This window comes from Homo sapiens, chromosome 16, assembly GCF_000001405.40.
Source record: "Homo sapiens chromosome 16, GRCh38.p14 Primary Assembly".
NCBI lineage: Eukaryota > Metazoa > Chordata > Mammalia > Primates > Hominidae > Homo > Homo sapiens.
Genome location: NC_000016.10, coordinates 75,835,361 through 75,862,372, shown reverse-complemented (window position 1 = coordinate 75,862,372; position 27,012 = coordinate 75,835,361). Strand labels below are relative to the sequence as shown.

The 27,012-nt window shown below is 37.9% G+C and overlaps 2 long non-coding RNA genes and 1 pseudogene across 3 annotated transcripts in view, besides 1 other annotated feature; 2 read left to right on the top strand and 1 right to left on the bottom strand.

Moving 5' to 3' along the window:
• Positions 1 to 27,012, bottom strand: part of LOC105371348 (uncharacterized) — a 154,623-nt gene that overhangs the window by 52,300 nt on the left and 75,311 nt on the right. The window lies entirely within an intron of this gene.
• On the top strand, positions 1,216 to 1,325 carry RNA5SP430 (RNA, 5S ribosomal pseudogene 430; annotated as a pseudogene).
• LOC105371347 (uncharacterized) lies at positions 1,547 to 27,012 on the top strand. The gene is made up of 4 exons (NR_188488.1): positions 1,547 to 1,614; positions 10,751 to 10,942; positions 23,473 to 23,608; positions 26,734 to 27,012. It is a non-coding gene; the product is annotated as an uncharacterized LOC105371347 (long non-coding RNA).
• Positions 25,455 to 26,143: an enhancer, noted in NCBI's record as "OCT4-NANOG hESC enhancer chr16:75870128-75870816 (GRCh37/hg19 assembly coordinates)". NCBI's record gives its function as "activates a minimal SCP1, AML or CMV promoter by ChIP-STARR-seq in primed H9 embryonic stem cells {active_cell/tissue: H9 hESC(primed)}" and the evidence as "EXISTENCE:reporter gene assay evidence [ECO:0000049][PMID:30033119]".

Below are 27,012 nucleotides of genomic sequence, written 5' to 3'. Positions count from 1 at the left end.
CACACACAACGCCGTGTGCGCATCTGTGTAACAGTCCGAGTGTGATGTCGCTAGGGAGTCAAGTGGGAATGGGAAAGGTTCCTTCCATACAGCACCTTGTAAAACAAAAGGCAGGGTGTGTAGTGAGCCTGAGAAAGATCAAAGAAGATTTCTGCGACATCCGTGGCTGGAAGCAGGAGCTGCTGCACTGAGAGGAGGTAACAAGGTTGCTTTTAGACATCCTCAGTCGGTGGCTGGGCAACCAGCTACCACCCAGAGCCCTGAAGCTGCCATTCTCTGATCATCAGAAATCTTTGAGCTGGAGAGCTGAGAGGTTCCTGCGAGGAGGAGTGCTTGAAACCATGAGAGTGTCAGCCCAACTGGCTTATTAGCTCACAAAATGAGACACCACAACATCGTTGCCACCCATAAAGAGACTTTCTTTCGTGTTTACACAGTCTAGGGAGCTTTAAAAGTTTAACACTTGACTGCATATATGCAATATATGCACCTTAGATTCGCTTATTCAGGAAACTGTAGCTTCCCTCGGTGCCTTTTTTTCCACTCCTTCCTCTCCACTTTCTACTAACAACCTTGTTATGAATCCCACCCTCAGAAAAAGAGCTATGCCCAGCCGATTTGCCTGACTCATGTTCCCCACATAGCTTGCAGGGAAGTGGCCAGACGATGGATTTTTTTAGATTCAGGGGATATGTGTGCATGTTTTTTACATGAGTATATTGTGTAACAGTAGGGACTGACTTCTAGAGTATCCATCACCCAAATATTGAACATTGTACTCAATAGGTAATTTTACAACCCTCAAACCCTCCCAGCTGCCTCCTTGTGGAGGTCCCAGTGTCTATTATGTCCATCTTGATGTCCGTGAGAACCCACTGTTTAGCTCCCACTTGTAAGTGAAAGCGTGTGATATTTGATTTTCTGCTTCTGAGTTAGTTCACTTAAGATAATGACCTCCAGCTCCATCCATGCTGCTGCAAGCGACATAATTTCATTCTTCCTTATGGCTCCATAGTATAGGATATTTATTAAATACATATTGTGGTCTGTAGAAATCACCAAGGAAAATATCATGTATACAAATATAATCAAATATTTTAATTCAGTAGTTACAGTTACAGGCTTCTTGTAAAGATAATTTTTCTCTTCCTAGAGAAATACTTAAGCCAGGATTCCTAATTCATATTAATCCTTCCCCAAAAATTCGTTGCTGTTGTCTACAGCCATACCACCCTGAACGCACCTGATTTCAGAAGCTAAGCAGGGGTCAAGGCTGATTAGTCCTGGGATGGGAGACCACCTTGGAATACCAGATGCCCTAGGCTTTTAAAATATATATATATTTGCTCTTAACAAGTGGTGCTGTTCAAGTGAGAAAGGACCTTTGATATCACAGCGGGGTCTTTGTGGCCCGGCACTTTTGTGTCCTTGACATCTCCCTTCCCCCAGTCAGTGGAGAGTCTGTGAGCACCATGTTGCTAAGCAACTAGGAAGCGCTCTTGGACAACGCGGACTTCTCCTGTCCAACCAAGGCGGGGGAAATCTCACAGACAGCAGCAGGACACAGCCTGCACACCAAGCTCGGGAGGAGCTGGGCAGACTCCGTTTATACAGGCAAGATGTTTTTAAAAGAGATACAGAACCAAATGAAAAAGGAAAATAACAAAGTGCATATAAGTACCTCCTACCACATAGCCCGTACAGAGAGCATAGCAACTACTGAATTATCCTCAGAAAATGTCACGTTAGCGGGGAGTATCATCTTGTAAGAACTCGGATACCCAATTTGTTTCTGAAGCTTCCTAGGCTCTGCCATTTTTTTCAGCGAAAACTCTCAGGAGGCCTTAAGCACAGAGGCAGACAGAACTGGCAACGCATCCCCTCCCAGACTGGGTCCTCTCCCCAGTCACCTCTGCCACATCCCCTGTGCTGTCTGAATTTAGGGTACATTTACTCTTGGTGTTGTTGTTGTTGTTGTATTTTATTTTGCTTTCATGAGTGCTTAATTTGTGCTTTATTCAATTAAGCAAGTTTATGTCACAACACTGCACTGGTGCAAGTAAAACCGATCATGTTCCTTTCTGCGTCCATCACTGGCAGTAGCCATCACTATCATTTTGTGCATTAATTCTGCTCCTTTTTTAGCACCTTTCTTTCCTCCACGTGGGAGCCAATTTTCCATCTGCTATCATTTATATTACGTTAGAAGAACATCCTTTCACCTCTCTTGTAGTACAGGTCTGCTGCACAGCTTTTATTTGTCTGAAAAAGTCCATTTTGTGTGTCTGAAAGTCTTTATTTTGCCTTTACTTTTGAATAATACTTGGGGTTGGATTTCAGATTCTAAGTTTACAAGACTGTTTCTCTTCCTCTTCTTTGAGCAGTGAGAAAATGTAATTCCATTGTCTTCAGGCTTACATAGTTATTGATGAGACATCTGAAACTGTTCTTATCTTTATTGCCCGATATGTAAAGGGTCTTTTATCTCTGATTGCTTTTTAAGACAATTTTTTTCTTATCACTGTTTTTCAGAAATGTGTTTTTTAAATTCCTTTTTGATTAGTTAATCTGATTGTGTTTATTTCCTATCTTATTTCTATGCCTTTAAAATGGTTCTAATTCTATAATATTATATACATATTTTGTATCTCACTTTTTTCTTTTCTTTTTTAGATTGATATATAATTGTACATATTTTTGGAGTACACATGATATTTTTATACATATGTTCAAGTGTAATGATCAAATGAGGGTAATTAGGATACCCATCACCTCAAATGTTTATCATTTTTTTGTATTGAGCATGTTTCAAATCTTCTCTTGTAGCTATTTTGAAATATATAATAAATTACTGCTAATTATAGTCACCCTACTGTGCTATCAAACACTAGAACTTATTCCTTCTATTTAACTGTATGTTTATACACGTTAATGCAACCTCCCTTCCTCTTCCCTTTCAGTACCCTTCTCAAGCTCTGCTATCATTCTACTCTGTACCTCCATGTGATCAACATTTTTGCTTCCACATGTAAGTGAGAACATGTGATATTTGTCTTTCTATGCCTGGCTTATATCCTTTAACTTAATGACCTTCAGCTCCATCCACGTTGTTGCAAATGACAGGATTTCTTTCTTTTTATGACTGAATAATATTTCGTGATATATATATATCTCTCTCATGATATATACATATGTATATAAATGGTATATATATGTACCATTTTTTCTTTATCCATTCATCTGCAGTGAACACTTATATTGATTCCCTATCTTGTTTGTTTATAATGTGACTCTGTTTTCTTTTTCATAATTATCCTGCTTGGGTTCATTAAAACTTTTAGATCTCTGGTTTTATAGTGTTCATTAATTTTGGAAATTTTTCAGCCATTATTTATTCAGAAATTATTTCTGAGCCTCTGTTTCTGAGGACACCAATTAAATGTAAGTTCAATAGTTTGATGTTGTCTCACAAATCACTGGGATTCTGTTCTTTTAATGTGTTTACTTCTTTCTGTGCTTCATTTTATGTAATTTCTTTTAGTACATCTTCAAGTTGACTGATCTTTCCTTTTTCAATGGCTGCTCTAAGTCTGACTCAATAGAATTTTCATTTTATATATTGTACTTTTATGCTCATTGGTTCGTGGTTCATTTTCATATCTTCCATTTCTGTCCTAATTACATTTAAAGATTTTAAACATAATGATTTTAAATGACTTTTCTAAAGCCCTTGAGGTAATTCCATCACCTTTGCCTTTTCTAAGTATGTTTATATTCCCTGAATTTCTCTTGGTTAATGGTAATTTTATATTTATATGATCTATGTATACATATTTTTATATATACAGATCTACAATATGTACATATGTAAAATATATAACTACATTTTATTATATTTGTGATACATAACTATATATTTTATTGTAAATAACATGCTATATATAATATATATTGAATATTATGTTGTATATAATAAAATATATATTATATATATTTACTTTTTTGCATGTTTTTTTATTTTGTCTTTCTTAAGAGTCTTGGCAGACAGTTAAGTAACTTTCTTTTTTTTTTTTTTTTTGAGACAGGGTCTCACTATGTCAGGCTGGAGTTCAGTAATGCAATCATAGCTGACTGCAGCCTCTGAACTCCTGGGCTCAAGCAATCCTCTCACCTCAGTCTCCCAAGTAGCTGGAACTACAGGCACATGCCACCAACAGTTATTTTTGTTGCCGTTGGTTTTATTTTATTGTTAAAAGATTTAAGAGACAGAGTCTCATTATGTTGCCCAGGCTGGCCTCAAGGGATCCTCCGCCATCAGCCTCCCAGTTAGCTGGGACAAGTGCACACCACTGCAGCCAGCACAGACCAGCTTATTTTTAAGCTTTACTAGGTCTGGATTAGAATAGCCTTTACTCTAGGACTAGTTTCACCTTACTGCTGAGGCCTGGCCTCTCAGTTTTCCTAGAGAGTAATGCATGGAACTTGTCTCTCTGCCTTTATAAGTATTGGAAGTCGCTGAGCTTGCCTCTCCCAGTTGTTCTTTATGCTACTCATGGAGTTTCACCCTATATATGCGAAGTTCAGTATTTAGCAACAGACTCAAAATGATGCCTGTTCTAATTTCCGGAGCTATTTTCTGCATGATTCTCGCTTTTCCAGTACTCCAATTCTACCCACGTCATCCTCCCCTAACTCTAGTCTCTTGTCTTCCCGACTCAGTGAGAATGTTATATCTGCTTGAGTTGTTGTTTCCTGTGTCACTGTCCACAAAGGATCTCCAGGTGATTAGAACCACAGCAGTTCTAGAGCTCACATCATTTATTTTCCTTTTCTCTGGATTGCAGTCCTTCACTTAGGTGGCAGTTTCACTTGTTTTTCTAGTTTCCTAATTTTTACAGCAAGAGAACAAGTTTTGAAGTACCGGTTACTTCAAGTGGAAAGCCTACAGTCTCATTAGGTAAGGAGTTAAGGACAATTTGAACAGGTGCTTCTGACCCTGGGTCTCTCGTGGGTTTGCAGTTGACACGTTTGCCTAGACTACAGTACTATGAAGTTTTAAAGGGAGCTGGAGAATCAGTTCCAAGGTAGCTCACTCACTAATGTGGATGGCAAGCTGTGGTGCTGGTTGTGGTTCCTCATCTCATGGATGACTCTATCAGACTGCTTGAGTGTCTTTATGGTACAGCGGCTAGCTCCTCCCTGAGCAAGTGATCCAAGAACTGCCTGTGGTTCAGAGGGATGGTTTTTTTGTTTGTTTGTTGTTGTTGTTGTTTGTTTGTTTGATTGTTTTTTGAGGCAGAGTCTCGCTCTGTTGCCCAGGCTGAAGTGCAGTGGCAGGATCTCAGCTCACTGCAACCTCCACCTCCCAGGTTCAAGCGATTCTGCTGCCTCAGCTTCCCAAGTAGCTGGGATTACAGGTGCTTTGCCACCACAGCTGGCTAATTTTTGTATTTTTGGTAGAGATGGGGTTTCACCATGTTGACCAGGATGGTCTCGATCTCTTGACCTCGTGATCTGCCCACCTAGGCCTCCCAAAGTGCAGGGATTACAGGTGTGAGCCACCACGCCAGGCCCGGAGGGATGTTTTCTTAATGTTTGTGGGGACCTAGTAGGTGTAGATGATGCAGGAGTTTTTCTCAACTCCTTTGTCAGGCTTGCAACAGGGGTGCCCCATTTATTCAACCCGCCACACTCAACCTCTTGCAGTAAGCAAGCGAGTGCAGGATCTGGCTGGCTGTTTTGGGCACCAGCAGGAGCAGGATCTGTGTGGGCCCTGAGGTGGCACCCAGATCAGGAGGTCTGCAACCCCTGATGCCCCAGAGGGCATGTTACAATACTCTCTTAGCTCCGCCATCCTATGGACAATAGCATGTTATCAGCTCAGTGGGCCCCTTGCCTCATCACATGGGGTGGCTGCCCTCCACCAGCAAGGGCAAAGGGCCAGTGTGGCAGCCTTTTTTGCGTACCTGCATGCGGTGGGTCCCAAGTTCTTGTCCAGCGTCCAAGAAGAAATTGGGTCACACATACACTTCAAGGATGGCGGAGGCAGAGTATTTTGTTTAGCAACGGAAGCGACTCTCAGTGGAGAGGGAAGCTGGAGAGAGGATAGGATGGGCAGATAATCTGAAGTCCGGCCATCTCTGGGGCTTTTCTCCAAAGTTAAGCCATCTCTCATGACGTCTAGCTGTCCCTCTGAAGTCAAGTCACCTCTCTCCAATCAAGCCACTTCTCTCTTCTACCAACTGAGTCTGGGGTCTTTATAGACACAGGATGAGGGGCAGGGTGGGCTGCAGGTAGTTTTGGAAAAGGCAACATTGAATTGGTAAAAAGACATTATTCAGAAAGAACCAATCAGGAGAGAGTGGGCAAACAGGGATAGAAGTTCTCACTTTGGGTCGTGGGTTTCAGGCTTTTCAGCTTGAAGGTGGGGATTTATTGGTGACACACCCTCTCTGCCTAGAATTTCTCTGCCTCCTGCCTCTATCACATATATTTATGGGGTATGTGAGATGTGCCTGTGCTTCCTGTGTCCACCAAAATACACAAAACACAGGATGAGAACACCTTAGATTCTTAGTCAATAACCAATCACAGATACTCTCTTTAATCTAAACCACTCTGGATTGCACAGAGAAGAAACCACATCCTCCAAATCCTTCAATTAATTTCTTATTATGAAAAAAACTGACCAAAGTTCAATTTAATAAAAATGATTGCAACCTCCAAGGAAATTCGAACAGCATCTCGACAGTCACTGTCCTCCCTTGCTTTTACAAGAGGTTGTCACATTATTTCAGAGATTGCAATGGAAAATGTTCCCCCAAGGGTCTCAAGAAGGCCTAAGGGGATTTTGTGGGCACACATCATTAGTACCACAGACAACTACAGCCCTGATACAAAACTCCATTTGCACATCTCAATGACCTGGGCCATCCGTGCTGCTCATTTCCCCAAGGCTGAAGCCAGCAACCTCTTTGACTTCTTTCTAAGAGTTCTGCTGCTGTGTCCCACCACCTCAAAAAATCATTTTCTTAAAAAAAAAAAAAAAAAAAAAAAAAAAAAAACCCTTTCTAATGAGGGGGTATACCAAGTACTAAGAAAAAGATGGTTAAGCAGATGTTGGCATCTTTGCTGCTGCAGACATGGTCAACATAAGAAAGAAGAGACTGCTTTTGCTTCTAAGTGGAGATGACTTGCAAGTCACAAAATTTTTTTTTTTTTGAGATGAAGTCTCACTCACTCTGCCTCCCAGGCTAGAGTACAGTGGTACAATCTCAGCTCACTGCAACCTCCACCTCCTAGGTTCAAGCGATTCTCCTGCCTCAGCCTACTGAGTAGCTGGGATTACACATGTATGCCACCACACCTGACTATTTTTTGTATTTTTAGTATAGACGGGGTTTTACCATATTGGCCAGGCTGGTCTTGAACTCCTGACCTCAAGTGATCCACCCATCTTGACCTCCCAAAGTGCTGGGATTACAGGCCAGGTGTGAGCCACCGTGCCCCGCCACAAAACCTTTTTTTTTTTTTTTTTTTTTTTTTTTTGAGATGGAGTCTTTCTCTGTCACCCAGGCTGGAGTGTAGTGGCGCGATCTTGGCTCACCTCAACCTCTGCCTCTCAGGTTCAAGTGATTCTTCTGCCTTAGCCTGCCGAGTAGCTGGGACTACAGGCACATGCCACCATGCCCGGCTAATTTTTGTATTTTTAGTAGAGACAGGGTTTCACCGTATTGACCAGGCTGGTCTCAAACTCCTGATCTCATAATCAACCTGCCTCAGCCTCCCAAAGTGCTGGGATTACAGGTATGAGTCACCGCACCTGGCTAAAACATTTTTAAGTGTATGCATTTCCTTAGACGTTTTGTGTATTCATTCCAGAAAATTCACTTCTCTTCCAAATGTAGAAGACTCATAGCTCTTGGCAATAAACTCGGCATTTAACATGCAGAGTTATAAGCAGGAAGTCAACAGAGGGGAAGTATTCACGCTGAACTTTTCTGGCTTATGCAAAAGGGAAAGCGTGTATTTCCATTTAGCTTTTCTTGATAAGGATTAGAGGAACAAACAGATGCAAAGTCCAGCAGTCCATTCACAAGCATTTACTGCTGCCTGCCCTATACCATTCACTGTGCATGATGCTGAAGACAGATATTGAGCTGCCTGCATTCAAGAACCATAGACTAGTCAAATGCACTAACAATCAGCATACTTGCAACTATTCAGTGTATACTAATTGCACCCACTGTGTGGTAGACTTTGTTAGATACTGGGGGTTCAGGACAAGATAAAGATCCTGGCATTAACATGATCCAAACAGAGTAAAATCAGAAATGGAATGGGGACATTGGGAGAGGCATTGAAACAATTTCTGTGAGTGTTTAGGGTTAAAAATGTTTGAATAGCATGTGTTTCTTGTTTGATGGTCTGAGATTTGATAATTATGATCTTACAGATTCGATGCTAAGATGTTTTTAAAAGAAAAAAAGAAGGTCATGATTTGTCAGCCTTATTTGTGCTCTCATTAATGCACTCTGGCACTTATAATGACAATTTGTAAATAATCAGGACTCTAAACATTTAATTATCACAGCCTTTCTTTACTGTCCTTATTTTCACAGTCTATAGCTGTGTTGCCTAATCCGACAGCCATACGAGGCTATTTAAATTTAAATTTATATTAATTAAAAGTAGAAAAAAATTGAGTTCCCTGATCTTACTATTCTCATTTGAATTGCTCAATATCCACTGTAATATGGTATATTTTCATTATCACAGCAAGTTCTATTAGACAAAACTAGTTTATCAATTTCTAACATAAGAAAATAATCTTCCAACTCAAACCATATTATGTTGCCAAACATGTTTCCATAACTTTTTTTTATTAATAAGCTAACATTTTTAACTCTAGGGCACAAAGTCAACATTATTAATCTTACGATCATTACAATGGTAATTAATTAATATGTTTCTTTGTTAGATCTATTCTCTACCCAATAGCACCACCATTTGAGGCCACCAAATTTAAAGTAACGCTTTTAATTTTTTAATATTAGATTTGAAAACACCACTTAAAATTGAATACAATAAAATTAAACCAACTGCCTATTTCCCTCATGAAATTCTCCATCAAGGCCACACTAAAAACATATCCCTTTCTTCTTGGCTATTTACAAACCACTTGTAACAAACATTTTGGAAATTCTGGATTTTTACAGCACAATGTGCTTCTAGATTTTGTTTCCTAGAGTGAGAGGAACTGGAGGGAGTGGATTTGTATATATTTCTTCAATTAAAGGAATTTGAGATTCCTTTTTTAAACTCAAACTCACAAAATATCAAGTACAAACAATAGTTTACTTGCTATTAGGTAAAAGATTGTCAGACTTGATGATGGTTGGACTCAATGCTCCTCTCTGTATATTTTATTATAATTGCGCATATTGGGTAAGAGAAAATTCAACACAATTTCAAATACCCATTGGACAAAGGAAGCAAAATAGTATTGTGCAGCCATGGCCTTTTTGGGAATAGGCTTTTTCTCTGGCTTCACCCACAAGAACATCTTTTTTTTTTTTTTTTTGAGACAGAGTCTCCCTCTGTTACCAGGCTGGAGTGCAGTGGTACGATCTCGGTTCACTGGAACCTCTGCCTCCTGGGTTCAAGCAATTCTCATGCCTCAGCCTCCTGAGTAGCTGGGATTACAGGCACATGCCACCATGCCACCATTTCCAGCTAATCTGCGTATTTTTAGTACAGATGGTGTTTCACTATGTTGGCCAGGATGATCTCAATCTCCTGACCTCATGACACACCTGCCTCACCCTCCCAAAGTGCTGGGATTACAGGCATGCGCCATGGCGCCCTGCCTAAGAACGTCTTTTTAACAAAGATTTAAGATGGCCTTATCTAATTTCCTTAGCAAGCAAAGGCAATTTTTCTATCCTGTGTTTAATCTCAGGTTACCTAAATATTCTTACATGTTTCCAAGTTACTCACTTAAGTTTAGAGGTATATCTATACTTGGAAATATGGCAAAATCCTCTCCCTAGTATGTTCCTAGTATTATTCCCTAGGAATAATATCTGTGCTCCCAAAATAAACCTTATAATCCAGAATTACTTCTGGAACATCACCAAGGCAGGGTAATTTCTTTGTAGTTTGGCCACCATTTCCAAACCAACAGGCAGCAAATCAAGTTTTCAAGTCTTAAAAATCTTTCACTCAAGCAGAAAGTAGTTTTATACTTCTGTGTTGAAAACTGGTACTATTCTTGGATCTCTTTAGAAAATTTTGTTGGGAGGAAATGAGGCAGCCTTCCAAGATGAAATATGAAAAACCAGAAGTTGATTAAGGTTAAGGTAATGTAGAAAATGTTAATGTAGAAGACATTTTTTAAGAAACTTCATTTCTGTTTAAACAAGCCACATGCTTTTGAATGAGCTCCTGCTACCTCTCTTATTTCCCTCTCCCTTTTTTCTCTCCCCTGAAACCTGCAGATCTAAATTATTCTCTTCTGTAAGTCTAAAGTACACAGAGAAATCTGAAGCTGTCTTAAAACATAATTCACATATTTAACCTCTACGTTTACCACTTTACCTATAGGTGCATAATTCATAGGGTTATCTGTTGAATACCGTTTCTTTCTCAAGACATTTTCCCCTACTTTTTGGTGCCACTTTCTTCTAGATTCCATGATTTCTGATGAGAAATTAACCCAGAACTTATATTCACTGAAAATGTCTTTCAGGAGTGAAGAAGAAATCAAAATATTCTCAGATGAAGAAAAGCAGAGAATTTGTCATCAGGAGACCTGCCCTAAAAGAATGGCCCTAATGGAAGTTCCTAAAAAAAGAGAAGACACTGAAAACAAAAAACAAAAAAAAAAACTTGAAGTATTATAAAAGTATCATAAAGAAAGAGGAGCATAGTAAGCAAAAATGTGGGTAAATGCAATAGGCTTTCCTTAATATGTTTTATAAATTATGTTTGATGGTGGAAACAAAAAATTTATAACGTTGCTTCATATGGCTCTTAATTGCCCCGTAGAGAAAATCTTCAAGACAATTATAAATAGCAGAGAGTAAGGGACTTAAAGGAAAGTGCAGTTTCTATGCTTCACTCAAACTTGTGAAATGATGACACCAGTAGACAGTGATAAGTTATGTATATGTAATATAATACCTACAGCAATCACTAACAGAAGTTACAAAGAGATTTACTCCTAAGCACTATAGATAAAACCCAGTGAAATTCTAAAAAAAACAAATGTTCAGGTAACTCACATCAAGACAGTAAGAAGAAACAGAGAAAGAAAAGCCAGAGAGAACAAACAAAAATATAAAGTAAAATTTCAGACCTAAGCCCTAATATATCAGTAACTACGTTAAAAGTAAATGATCTGTAATTGTCCTGGTTGCCTAGGACTGTAGGGCTTCCTGGAACACAGGACATTCAGTGTTAAAACTGGGAAAGACTTGGGCAAACCAGGATGAGTTGGTCACTCTAGTTACATTTTTTTAAAATCAAGGTTCTACAAAAATCCCTTAAAAAGTGTTTCCTGAGGCCGGGCGCAGTGGCTCACACCTGTAATCCCAGCACTTTGGGAGGCTGAAGCAGGTGGATCACGAGGTCAGGAGATAGAGACCATCCTGGCTAACACGGTGAAACCCCACCTCTACTAAAAATACAAAAAGAAAATTAGCTGGGCGTGGTGGCAGGCTCCTGTAGTCCCAGCTACTCGAGAGGCTGAGGCAAGAGAATGGCGTGAATCTGGGCGGCAGAGTTTGCAGTGAGCTGAGATTGCACCACTGCCATCTAGCCTGGGCAACAGAGCAAGACTCTGTCAAAAAAAAAAAAAAAAGGTGTTTCCTGCTATGCCACTGTAAACTTTTTTTATTTAAAAAAAAAAAAGGTAAATGTCTAAAGACATCAATTAAAAGACATAGATTGCAAAATGGATGTAAAACATGATTTAACTCTATGCTATCTACAGAAAGTCACTTAAAATATGATATAGGCAAGTTGAAAGTTAGAGAATGGAAAAAGATGTACTACACAAACATTAATCAAATGAAAACAGGAATGGTTATATTAATGTCAGATAAAGTAGATTTAAAGCAAAGAAAATTTCCAGAGACAGAGAAGATTTGTATATAATGCTTAAAGGGCAAATCAACCATTAAGACATAATCCCAAATGTGTACACACCAAATGACAGCTGAAAATATGTAAAGCAAAACCAATAGAAGTAAAAGGAGGCATAAGGCAAACAAATGTACAACTGTAGTTGGAGACTTCAACACCACCCTCTCAACAACTGATAGAACACGACAGAAAATCTGCAAGGATAGAAGAACACAACATCATCAACCCAAATAATCTAATTGACATTTATAAAATACTCCAACCAACAATAACAGAGTATACATTATTTTCAAATGCCATTGGACATATACCAAATTAGACTGTATTCTGGGCCAAAAACTCAACAAATTTAAAAGAATTGAAATATACAGAGTGTGTTCTCTGAGCAAAGTAGAATTAAACTGGATATAAACAGAAGGACAACAGGAAAATCTCCATACACTAGGAAATGAAACAGCACATTTCTAAATAACTCGTGAGTCAAAGGGGAAGTGTCATGGGAAATCAAGAATACACTGAATTAAATGAAAATGAAAATACAAGGCCGGGCACAGTGGCTCACACCTGTAATCCCAGCACTTTGGGAGGCCAAGGCAGGCAGATTGTGAAATCAAGAGATCGAGACCATCCTGACCAACATGGTGAAACCCCGTCTCTACTCAAAATACAAAAATAGCTGGGCGTGGTGGCAGGCGCCTGTAGTCCCAGCTACTCGGGAGGCTGAGACAGGAGAATCGCTTGAACCTGGGAGGCAGAGGTTGCAGTGAGCTGACATTGCGCCACTGCACTCCAGCCTGGGTGACAAGAGTGAGACTCCAGCTCAAAAAAAAAAAAAAAAAAAAAGAATAGAAAAGAAAAATTAAAACCAATTCTACACAGTCTATTCAAGAAAATAGAAGAATAGGTAACAGTACAAAAAAGAAACCTACACACCAATATCTCTCACAAATACAGATTTAAAAATTATTAACAAAATATTATTAAGCAGAATTAAGCAATATATGAAAAGAATTATGCCCCATAACCAAGTGAGGTCTATTTCAGGGATACAAGATGGGTTTAATATTTGAAAATCCATCAATGTAATCTACCATATTAACAAGCTAAACTTAAAAATCACATGAGCATATCAATTGATGTACAAAAAGAATTTGACAAAACTCAAACTTATTAATGATAAAAAGTACTTACTCTCAGAAAAAAAAAGTATGAGTAGCAGAGAACTTCTTCAACCTAATGAAGAGCATCTTTAAAAAGTACAGACAACCCTTTAGTTAGTGGTGATTGCTTTCCTAGTAAGATTGAGAACAAGGCAAAGATGTTCACTCTCACCTTTCTTCTTCAACATAGTGCTGGAAGTTCTAGCCAGTGCAATAATGCAAGAAAAGAAAAAGCCATAAGATTGGAAAGGAACAAATAAAACTGCTTCTATTTATAGATGGCATAATTATTTACATTTTTAAATCCCAAGGAACCTATTAAAAAAAAACACTTGCTGAAAGTGGGAGCTAAACAATAAGAACTTATAAACACAAAGAAGGAAACAGCAGACATTGAGGTCTACTTAGTGGGGAGAGTGGGAGCCGAGGGAAGAGCAGAAGGGATAACTATTGGCTACTGGGCTTAATGCCTGGGTGATGAAATGATATGTACAACAGTCTCCTGTGATATGTGTTTACCTATGTAACAAACCTTCATATGTATCCCCAAACCTAAAATAAAAGTTAAAAAAAAGAACTAATAAGTGTGTTCAGCATGATTTCAAGATATAAGATAAATATACAAAAAAAATTATATTCTATATACTAGCAATGAATAAGTAGACACAAAATTGAAAATAAAATACCATTTAGAATTGCTCCAAAAAATGAAATACTTAGTTTTCAACTTAATAAAACATATATAGGACTTGTACAGAGAAAACTGCAAACTATTGATGAAGAAAAGTTAAAGAAGACTTCAATAAATGAAGAGACACACCATATTTGTAGATTGAAAGACTCAACATAGTAAATATATCAATTCTATCCAAAAGGTTTAGCGCAACTTCTATTAAAATCCCAGTAAGACTTTTTGTATATATAGGTAGTTTATTCTAAAATTTGTATAGAAAATAAAAAGAACTGAAAGACCTAAAACAATTACTGAAAAGAAGAATAAAGTGACAACAATCATCCTACCTGATTTTAACACATTTTTTAGCTTCTTGAGTAAAAGAGTGAATGATTTTAACACTTATTATATGGCTACAGTAATCAAGATTGTGTGGTATTGACAGACAGAGACACATAGGTCATAAAACAGGAGAGCGAACCCAAAAAATACACCCAAACAAATATGCCCAAGTAATGACAAAGGTACAAAATCAACTCAATGAAGGAAAGAGTCTTTCTGAACAAATGATGCTGGAGCAATTTCACACCCATGGGCAAAAGAAAAGAGTATCAATCTAAGTCCAAATCTTACACACACACAAAAAGTCTCAAAATGGATCAAGGCTGAAATGTAAAACTATAAAACTTTTAGAAAAAAAAAAAGCATGAGAAAAAATCTAGGCAAAGACTTCTAAGGCTTGACACCAAAAGCGCAATCCAGAAAAGGAAAAATTTATAAACTGGACTCCATCAAAAATACTTTTCCTCTAAAAAAGATCCTATTAAAAGGATAAAAACACAAGCTACACACTGGGCAGAAATATTTGCAAAACCACCCATTCCACAAATGACTAGTATTGAAAGCATATAAAGAACATTCAAAACTCAATAGGAAAAAAAAAAAGAAGCAAACAACTCATTATTCATTTAGATAATAGGTAAATGACATGAAGAGATGTTCACCAAAGAGGCTATACAGATGGAAAATACGCAAATGAAAAGATGTTCAACATTAGGCATTAGGCAAATGCAAATTAAAACCACAATGTGAAATCACTATGCAGTTATCTGAATGGCTAAAATAAAAAATAGTGACAACACTAAATGTTGTGAGAATATAGAGAAATTGGGTCACTCATACATTGCTGGTGGAAATGTAAAATGATACAGCCACTCTGAAAAACAGCTTGGCAGATTTGTGTGTGTGTGTGTGTGTGTGTGTGTGTGTGTGTGTGTGTGTGTGTGTGTGTGTTGTTGGTTTTTTTGTTGTTGTTGTTGTTTCTTTTTGGGTTTTTTGACAGGGTCTCACTCTGTCACTGGAGTGGAATGGAGTGGCAGGAGTGCTGGCTGCAGTGCAGTGGCAGGATGTCAGCTCACTACAGCCTCGACCTCCCTTGCTCAGGAGATCCTCCCACTTCAGCCTCCCAAGTAGCTGGGAGCACAGGGTGAGCGCCAGTACTCCTGGATAATTTTTTTATTATAATTTTTTGTAGAGACAGTGTTTCACTATGTTGCACAGGCTAGTCTCAAACTTCTGGGCTCCAGCGATACGACCACCTGGGCCTCCCAAAGTGCTGGAATTACAGGCATAAGCAACCATGTCCAGCCTTCCCTGGCTCGGCAGTTTCTTTAAAGAACTAAACATACAGCTGCTTTATGACCAGTCTTGGTTTTGGGGGCATTTATTCCAGAGAAATAAAAATTTATGTCCACTCATGGCCAGGCATGATGGCTCATGCCTATATGAGCACTCAGCCTCAGCACTTTGGGAGGCCGAGGCAGGTGGATCACTTGAGCTCAGGAGTTCAAGACCAGCCTGGCCAACATGGCAAAGCCTTGTCTCTACCTAAAAATATAAAAAATTAGCTGGGCATGGTGGCAAATGCCTGTAATCCTAGTTACTGGGGAGGCTGAGGCAGGAGAATCACTTAAACCCGGGAGATGGAGGTTGCAGTGAGCCAGGGTCACACCACTGCACTCCAGCCTGGGCAAAAGACCAAGGCTCCTTCTAAAAAAGAAAAAAAAACTTATGTCCACTCAGAAACCAGTACATGGATGTTTATAGCAGCCTAATTACTAATAGCCAAAAATTAGAAACAATCCGGGTGTCGTTCAATAGGTAAATGCTTAAAATAACTGTGGTACATATATACCAAGCAATACTACTCAGCAATTAGAAGGAAAGAACATTGATAGATGCCACAACCAGGATTAATCTCCAAAGAATTAGCTGAGTGAAAATAAGCCAATTCCAAAGGGTTGCATAGTGTATGATTGCATTTACATAAAACTCTTAAAATGACAAAGTGTAGAAATGGAGAAGAGATTAGTGCTTCCCAGAGGTTAAGAAAAGGGTGAGGATGAGATGGAAGCAGATGTAGCTATAAAAAGGCAACATGAGGGGCAATATTGTGATGGAAATGTTCTGTAGTTCACCTGTATCAAAATCCTTATCAGGGTTGTGATATTGTGCTACAGGTTTTCAAGGTGTCACCGCCGGGGAAAAATGCATAAACAGTACATGAGACCCCTCTGTATTATTTCTTACAATTGCATGTAAATCTATAATTATCTCAAAATTAAAAGTTTAATTTAAAAAATTAACAGGATGGCGGGGTGTGGTGGCTCACGCCTGTAATCCCAGCACTTTGGGAGGCCAAGGCGGGTGGATAACCCAAGGTCAGGAGTTCGAGACCAGCCTGGCCAACATAGTGAAGCCCCATCTCTACTAAAAAAAAAAACAAAAATTAGCTGGCTGTGGTGGTGGGTGCCTGTAATTCCAGCTACTCAGGAGGCTGAGACAGGAGAATCACTTGAACTCAGGAGGCGGAGGTTGCAGTGAGCTGAGATCACACCACTGCACTCCAGCCTGGGCAACAAAGAGTGAAACTCCGTCTTAAAAATAATAATAATAATAATTAGCAGGAATGACAAGAGGGACAAAATGATCAAAACCAAAAAAAAAAAAGACTCAGCTATCATCCAGATATTGGATTTTTTAAACAATAACTTTAAAATAACTATTCATAGTATATTCAAAGTAATAGAAAAAAGATGGAAGAAATGTGTTTAAAAATAAGAAGCTAAAATCTATAAAAGTAATCACTGGCGTGTTTTAAAACTAAAAAAAAAAATCCGAAATTAAGATCACAATAGATGTTTTAAAAGTTTGTATTTAACAAATTCAAGTGATATAAGATTATAAAAGGCATATCTCTTTTTAACACATGTCACTTTATTGCCCTTCACAGATACTGCAGTTTTTACAGATTGAAGGTTTGTAACAACCCTGCATTATTGGCACAATTTTTCTACAACATGCTCACCTCACATCTCTGAGTCACATTTTGGTAATTCTCCCAATATTTCAAACATTTTCATTATTATTATATCGGTTATGGTGATCTGTGATCAGTGATCTTTGATGTTACTATGGTAACTGTTTTAGGGCACCTCGAACTGCATCCATATAAGATAGCAAACTTCACTGATAAATATTAGTTGTGTATTCTGACTGCTCCACTGACCAACCATTCCCCCATTTTTCTACCTCTCCTTGGACCTCCCTACTCCTGAGACACAACAATATTGAAATTAGGCCAATTAATAACCTGACAATGGCCTCTAAGTGTTCAAGTGAAAGGAAGAGACACACATCCCTTCCTTCAAATCGAAAATGAGAAGTCATTAAGCTTAGTGAGGAAGGCATGTCAAAAGCCAACATGGACTGAAAGCCAGACCTCTTGTACCAGACATCCAAGGTGTAAATGCAAAGGAAAAGCTCTTGAAGGAAATTAAAAATGTTACTCCAGTGAATACACAAAGGATAAGAAAGCAAAATAGCCTTATTGCTGTCGTGGAGAAAGTTTCCATGGTCTGGAGAGAAGATGAAACCAGCCACAGCAATTCTTTAAGCCAAAGCCTGATTCAGAGCAAGGCCCTAACTCTCAATTCTGTGAAGGCTGAGAGATGGGAGGAAGCTGCAGCAGAAAAGTTTGAAGTTAGCAGAGGCTGTTCATGAGGTTCTTTCCTTAGAAAAACACCATCTCCATAACATGGAAGTGCAAGGTGAAGCAGCAAGTGCTGATGCAGAAGCTGCAGCAAGTTATCAGAAGATCTAGCTAAGATCATTGATGAAGGTAGCTACACTAAACAGATTTTTAGCATAAATAAAACAGCCTTATATTGGAAGAAGATACCATCTAGGACTTCATAGCTAGAAAGGAGAAGTCAATGCCCGGTTTCAAAGCTTCACAAGCACAGGCTGACTCTTGTTAGAGACTAATGCACCTGCTGACTTTAAGTTAAAGCCAATGCTCATTTACCATTCTGAAAATCCTAGGGCCCTTAATAATTGTGCTAAATCTACTCTGCTGTTCCTTCTAAATGGAACAACAAAGCATAGATGACAGCACATCTGTTTATTGCATGGTTTACTGAATATTTTAAGCCCACTATTAAGATCTACTGCTCAGGAAAAAGGATTCCTTTCCAAATGTTACTGCTCATTAACAATGCACTCAGTCACCCACGAGCTCTGATGGAGATGTAGAAGAAGATTAATGTTGTTTTCGTGCCTGCCAACGTGACATCCATTCTGCAGCCCATGGATTAAGGAGTAATTTTTACTTTCAAGTCTTATTATTTAAGCAATACATTTTGTAAGGCTATAGCTGCCATCACTAGTGATTATTCTGATGGATCTGGACAAAGTAAATTGAAAACCTTCTGGAAAGGAGTCATCATTCTATACGTCATTAAGAACGTTTGTGATTCATGGGAAGAGGTCAAAATATCAACATTAACAGGAGTTTGGAAGAAGTTGATTCCAATCCTCATGAATGATTTTGAGGGGTTCAAGACATCAGTGGAGGAAGGAACTGCAAATGTGGTGGAAATAATAAAAAAACTGGAATTAGAATTGGAGCCTGAAGATGTGACTGAATTGCATAAGGAGTTGCTTCTTATGAGTGCGCCAAGAAAGTGACTTCTTGAGATGGAATCTACTCCTGGTGAAGATGCTGTGCACCTTCACAGCACCTTCACGCAAGATGTTGAAATGACAGCAAAGGATTTAGAATATTACATACACTTAGTTGACAAAGCAGCAACAGGGTTTGAGAAGACTGACTCTAATTTTGGAAGAAATTGTGCAGTGGGTAAAAAGCTATCCAACAGCATCGCATGCTAGAGAGAACTCTTTCATGAAAGGAAGAATCCATGGATACGGCAAACTTCATTGTTGTCTTATTTTAAGAAATCTCCAGAGCCACTTCAACCTTCAGCAACAACCACCCCGATCAGTCAGCACCCATCAATATTGAGGAAAGCCTTTCCACCAACAAAAACATTACAACTTGCTGAAGGGTTAGGTGATCATTAGCATTTTTTCATAATAAAGTTTTTTTTAGTTAAGATGTTTACATTTTTTAGAGATGATGCTATTGCAAGCTTAATAGAATACAGTAAAGTGTAAACATAGCTTTTATATGCACTGGGAAACCAAAAAATTCATGTGACTTATATTATTGCAATATTTACTTTATTGTGGTGCTCTGAAACCAAACCCACAATAACTCTGATATCTCTGACATCTGAAAGGATGTCTGAAAGACATCAGACACAAGGTACACAGGAAAGGATTTTAGTGTGGGTGGCATCGTAATTAGAGTCACATAAAAGTGATCAGACACAATGGCATAATTTGTATATTCACTGATGTGTTCACAATTCCATTTCAAGCATTTATCTTCACACTCTCTATGCCTGTACTGGAAGATAGGTCAAAAGAAAGTATTCAACTAAAGCACTCAGTGGAAAAATGAAGGAAATAATGTAAGATACATATGGGCCATACTCAAAAAGTATAAATATGTATAATTAGATTACCAAAACCTGAAGTGATAAAGAATGGGGCATGGCAATATTTTAAAGATAGTAGCTGAGAATTTACAATACTTGTGAAAGAAGTCAACCCACAGTTTCAAGAAGCTCTTTGAATCCCAAGCAGTATAAATAAGTAAAAGGTCCTTAGGAAAGTCATGATCTAAAACATAATAAGCAAATTTTTGTGAAGAATTAGATATTAAATCTGTTAGATTTTGAAGTTTACCTATAGCCTCTGTCACAGGATCTTCTTTATGTTCTCAGAAATTCTTTAAAATAAAAATTTAAAAAAATCTTTGGTCACCAGCTGTACAGTAACAGGCCCTAAACCACAGATTGCCATCCACTGTCTAGAATATTCAAGGCATAAATTTTTGTAAGAGCCAAAAACTAATAGATTACCTAAAATCCCATCAACAGTAAAATAAGTAATTTGTAGTATATGTTAAATTCATACAATGGAAATTCATACATAAATGAGAATGCAACTATATCCAAAAATATGGATAAGCCAAATCACAATGCTGCTTGAAAGACATCAGACACAAAGTACACAGGAAAGGATTTTAGTGTGGCTGGCATCCTAATTAGAGTCACATAAAAGTGATCAGACACAATGGCATAATTTGTATATTCACTTATGTGTACACAATTCCATTTCAAGCATTTGTCTTCACACTCCCTCAGATGTTCTCTGCTGATTAATGTCCATGAAGTTAATTGGGGAATGGTTGTGTCTGCCTCCACCCACAGCTGATTATACCTTCCTCTGCATAAATATCTATGTTTCTCTCATGACATGCAAAAAGGAAAGCAATCAGTGGCAGTTAATCTTTTTATACCAGGGCAATAAAAATTCTCTCTGTAATCTTCAGCATGAGACGTTTTGATGCTCAAGTTAATTAACAATTTAAAGGAAAAACCCACCCATAATAGTGCTTAGATATAGGATTTAGGTGTCTGTCCTAGATCATAGTGCCCTTAGAATATAAAACATGTCAGGTCAAAATCTGTTTTCAAATATACCCTCACTATTACTAACTCTAAGGGGAAAAGAGCTTCATTCTTCAACTGTGGACACCACAGAGTTAATTTATGGCTCAGATGCACACAAAGCTTATCCCAGAAAGAGGTATGTGTCTCACCTGGGGGTTAACTTCTTTATTCTAGCGTTATTCTGATTGTCAGTAAAAATTAGTTTACTAATAATTAAGGAAGTCTATCTGCAATCCTGGGACCTTTGCTTTTCTACCTTTCTTTTCATACACTTTCTTTTCTTTAGATACAAGCAGATACATGCAGAGATCAAACATAAAACCCCTTGATAAAAATGGCCATCATTCTCCTGCTAGAATGACTTTCCCCCTTTCTCTACCAAAGGGCTTATATGATTTCCCCATCAAATGTGTCAAGTAAGTCTTTGAAGGCATCTATCATTTACCAACATGAGGTCTGCCATTCAAGAGTGCTGCTTTCAACAAGAAAGCAGAAACTTCTAGAGTTTTAATATAAAAAGCAGAGAGACCCTGAACATGCTATCTGAATCTTATCTGAATCTCATTCTGGATTTGCGTAAGATGTAGAATATAGGAAAGCAGTTTCTACAACAGCTTTGAAACAGGGAAATATTCTTTAATTTCCGAAACAAGACTAATGGCTCCTCAAGCTCAGAAGTATGGAATAAAGAGATGAACTCCATGAATTTAAATGTTGTTCCTTACAGATTTTCAGGAAACTGGATCCTATAGGATTTTATGATAACCTATTTGAAGTAAAAGCTGTAAGCATCTCTGTTTCTTTTTTAACTCACCTGTAATATAAGGCAAGCCTGTATTTAGAATGGGTCATTGGATATAGGAATGAAGATATTAAAATGGTCTAGAGACTTCTCAACAGCTAGATGTCTCATCTTACTATTTTTTTTCTTTATTTGTTATATTTTCTTCAGACAAGGTCTCGCTCTGTTGCCCAGGCTGGAGTGCAGGCGGCATGATCACAGCTCACTGCAGCCTCAACCTCCCAGGCTCAAGTGATCCTCCCACCTCAGCTTTCTGAGAAGCTGGGGCTATAGGCACGTGCCAACATGCCGGCTAATTTTTCCCATTTTTTGTAGAGATGGGGGTTTCACTATGTTGCCTAGGCTGGCCTCGAACTCCTGGGCTCAAGCAATCCCCCCACCTTGGCCTCCCAAATTTCTGGGATGTGCCAGGTGCCTGGCCTCATCTTACCACTTGTTAACAGGAAAGGCTAATTAAGAGCTGCCTCAGATAGTTGTTATACACAAGTCTCATTTCTGCTCAGCTACAATTCATCAGATACATTTCTTTCTGCGTACAGGGGCTTTCTGTCAGGAAGAATGGAGTTGGGTTTAGTAACTAGAGTTCAGATTGTTGTGTTTTCTACCTTTCCTAAAGGTCCTGAAATAAATACATCAACTCCCTTGCTGTCATCCTCTTATACTTTCTAGCAGAAACTACTGAGAGATACATTATCTGAGCTCCATATCAAGCACATAAAAGATTGAGAAAAATAATGCAATAAATGTAATTCTTAAATAACAGATAAATGGTAAGTTCCAAATGGGCTAGAGTATGATTAACAAAAATTGAAAATAATAGAATATATGGGAGAAATATTACTGGTTTATTCTGAGATGACAATAGGCCAATAGATTATTCAGAAAACATTCAAGGACTTCTGGTTGCTTGAGAATAAAGTAGTATGCATGCTCTATGAAAGTAAACATGCATATGATTATGTAGAAAAGGATTACATATTTGAATAAGTAAAAACGAATTCTATATATTGAAGAATTATAAATAAAGTGTCTTCATTCTATCTGTGTAATATTTACTCTTAATAGAATGTATCTACATAAAACTAAATGTAATAATAGAAGGAGATCTATAATATAAAAAGCAACAGCAAGATATATATATACACACACACATATATGTGTGTATCCCTATTAAATACATATCTATTCTGTATTTACATATATTCCACATGTGCATGTATAATTTATTTAGAAGCAAACTGTACTTCTAAAACAATAATAATGGAAGATTTTTTTCATGACATCATAAGACATCAATATACTAAATGAAAAAAGGCTACAAAAATATTTTTAAATGAGTCAACAGAAAAAAGTATAAAATTACTACACATCATATATAAATATTTATAATTATAAATATGTAAATGTCTCATGAAAGCAGTGCAAGATTATATATCGAATTATGCTCATTGTTCTTCTCTAGGTGAAAACTTTAGTTTTCTTTTACATAATTTACTTTTATTTTCTATTAAAATGGACATTTATTATTTCTATAATTAAAAGCAAAAGTTACAAAAAGACCTTTGAAATCTTTCCTGAAGTGACTTTGAAAGGCTAAAAAAAAATGTGTCCTAATTTGTTCCTATTTTCTAAAGGATTTATTTATTCTCTTTGGTTCAAATTAGATAGATAATCACTTGCATCTTCAAAAAAATATTATCTTTCAATATTTCACATTATATTAGCTGGGTTTTTTTAGTATTTTATATTGTGTTTTCTCCTATTCAGCTACTTGCCTTCAAAAGAAGGAGGAAGAGTAGGAGGAGGAAGAGCTGCAAGAGGTGCTGTGTCACCTCTGAAAGCACCACCCTGGAGGCCCCGTGATTTATAAGGACAGTAGTTAATAGTTTCTGTCATCAGAGAGGTCAGTGTGTTCTGTTCCCATATTGTTCAGTTCAATAGGCCTATTACTTGGAAATCAAGACGCATTATACCTATGATTACAAACATGTCTGGGGATGATGACATTGTAGATAACTCTCCAACCACAAAGTGCAAGAAAGTTTCCCAAGCTAGAGTTTTTTCATTAAATGTGCACATTTATTTGCATTTACACTGCCATCGTGTTCCTGAATCCTATAGTTTGGTTCCCCAAAGATGAACAGAGGACATAAAGATTACGTAACATAATAGGAACTCTAAGAAAAAGTAAGGTTGAGTTAGTGTGCATGACAGTACCACCAAGTCACATCACCACTGTTTGAAGTCAGCCACTTCTTTGTCAACAACTGAACATCAAGTGTGTTTTATCAGAGAAAAATGGAAACTCTTCTTGGATGCTTTTCCAATCAGTCAATACCAAGCAGATTTATTGAATAGCATCTATATATGTGCCAGCCACTGTTGCTGGTGCAGGCACTTATGGTGAATTATTCTATCTCTGTAACATGTTATTTGGAGGCAAATTGGCACTATTCACAAAGAACTTCGGGCTTAATTAGCATCTAAAAATTTTAAATACCCATAATTGTATATGGCCAAGAATACTACCCATGGTTAATTTGCATGTTGTTCCTATTGTCCCTAAAATGTGAGGACACTTAACAATAACTACTTTATGCTACATGATATTGCACACTAAACTGAGAGCAAAGATCACTCAGCACTGATGAAACTTGGCATTGAGGACTTTTAAGGTCAGAATGAACCACTAGACAGTGTAATACCCTTTCATCCCATACCCATGAATGTCCCTTTTGAGCCTGCCTCCTGCCCAAGCTCTTGCAGCTTCATCCCAGAGCTGCCTGGCTCCGTTATCTCGGTCCTAAGTAGCTGTTAAAAGAACCATTCTTCAGAGGTTCAGAGGGCTCAAGGGTTATATCCAACAGGCCAACTCTATTTCAAATATTAAAAAATCTTGTGCACTCTGACCAAATTGACATTTTCTCCCTCCCTACACATCAGTAGCACTAAAAATGAAGTTATTTCCATCTTGAGATTCTGAACCTCATTGTCCTTTAACATAACAGTACTTTCATTAAATCCTTCCTCAGGTTCGTTGGCTGACTTCTATTAAAGTACTTTCAACTTGTTTCCGTTTTTTAAAAATATATATAAATAAAACAGTTACCCAAATCCTAACTCCAAGGAATTTCAGTAGTTCTCCAGCACTTTCATCTTGCAACTCTGCATCATATTGTAAAAAAGAAAATGAATTAATGCTGTGTAAGGGAAAATTTGTCCTTCAAAGGAAAACTATACATTGTCTACACATAAGCAGAATTATGATACTATGGAAGCTATTTTACATCTCTGTAAGCTGTAGATAACTGATAGTGATGCAAAATAATTATTGCCTGTAGAAATTCTGCTAAGAGTCAATTGACTTTCCTCCCTTCTGTGGAGAAGCTAGGATTCTCTTTTGAACCTATTAAACATCTACTTAGTTCCCTCATTAATTAAAGAGTTAAATAAAAGCTTTAACAACTATCTTATACCTGTATGGGAGTCATGATTTTCCCTTTTTTTTTTTTTTTTTTTTTTGAAAATTATCATTTAACAGCTGTAAATAAGGAAAAATAAGCATAACTAGGGTATTGCACAGGGGAGTCATAAAAATGAGATGATGAAAAAGGACATATCCAGCAAGGAGGGGATCAAGAGTCAAGTTCTCTCATGCTCTTCAAAGCATAAACATGACATAAATTTGGAGGATTGAAAATGAAAAAGTATTCAATAATTTTCTCTGAAAGTAATATCACTTCTACATTCATACTGGAGAGTCTTGACAGAAAGGATTAAAGTGTGGTGGTTATTATGTGAAACCATTATCAAAGCAAAATTGCATCAGACTAAGTTAAACAAGTAAGGAAGATTTTATTTAAGGCTATTGTAATGGTAAAGAGAGATCAGTATTAACTCAACTACACTGAAACAATACATGGAGAGTCTTTAAAAGCTGAGATGGGGGATATCATAAGGCCATCTGCCTCTTACCCAAAGAAAAAGTAAACTTTCTGTTATCTTCATGACAAGAGGTAGTTTTACAACCTGGAGCAAGACTCTCACTGAAGTTAGGCTCCTACCCTCCCCCCACCCCACAGAGACTGGAAGATAAGGGTACTATCTTCCTTGATGATTACATTTCAGACGAATGGCTCCCAGGTCCTTAAGAAAAACAATCCTTGATTGTAAAACTGGCAAGAGGCTGGGAGAAGATTTACATCTCAAAGAGGTAGATGAAGAATTGATTGCAAGTTTTCTAAATTAAATGCTCTAGGAAAAGCGAGGTCAGGGGCCTAGAAAAAGAAATAAATCTCTCTCATTAAGACCATCTTGGTCAAGATTCATGTTATTTTCATCGTATTTGTTATTTCACTAAAAGTTTAAGTTAGCAAAGCCTTTCTCATATGTCACTTCACTTTAATCTCCATAAGCATTAATATTCATTTTGCAGATGAATTAACTAAGAGTGAGAAAGGCCAAGTCACTGGCCATAGGTCTCAAGTTCTTCAAAGTAACATGCAAGACTTAAACCCAGTCTCCTGACTTTTGCTTTAGTGCATTTTAAATGCCAGTTATATGCTGCTGACACAACCCGACTCCGCAATGCTGTGCTCACTCACGAAATGATTGGAGTTTCCCAAATAATGCATTTGAGATTAATAGAAAATCATGAGTGTGGCATCTAGAAGACAAGTTGTGACAGCTTTGTGTGGTGCCGCGCAGAAAATAGGACAATCACGGAGATAAATGGAGTGAGGTCTCAGGGTTTTAAATACATAGGTAGTTTCTGTTTCCTGGTTATACTATGATTGTTGCATCCAGAGGCACAGTCCAGGTCTTGAAGGGGTGTTCAAGTTGTAGTAGGCTAAATAATGCACCTTCAAAAGATATCCAGGCATTAACTCCTGAAATCTGTGAATGTTGTCTTAGGTGGCTAAAAAGGGGTCTTTTCCTGTGTGACCAAGTTAAGGATCTTGAGATGGGGAAATGAGCCTGGATTATCCAGGTGAGCTCTAAATGCAATCACGTGTATCCTTATTACAGGAAAGCAGAGGGAGATTTTACACAGAGAAGAGGTGATGTTAAGATGGAGTAGAGAGATATTTGGAGATCCTGGCCTTAAGGACTGGAGGGATGCAACCAGAAGCCAAGGAATACCAGTATCCACTAGAAGCTGGAAGAGACAAGGAAATTATTCCTAGGTCCCCTAGGAACTCCAGGATGAGTGCAGCATTGTTGACACCTTGATTTTGACCCAGGATACTGATTTCAGACTCTGGGCTCCAGAAATGTAACAGAATAAATTTCTAATGTTTTCAGTCA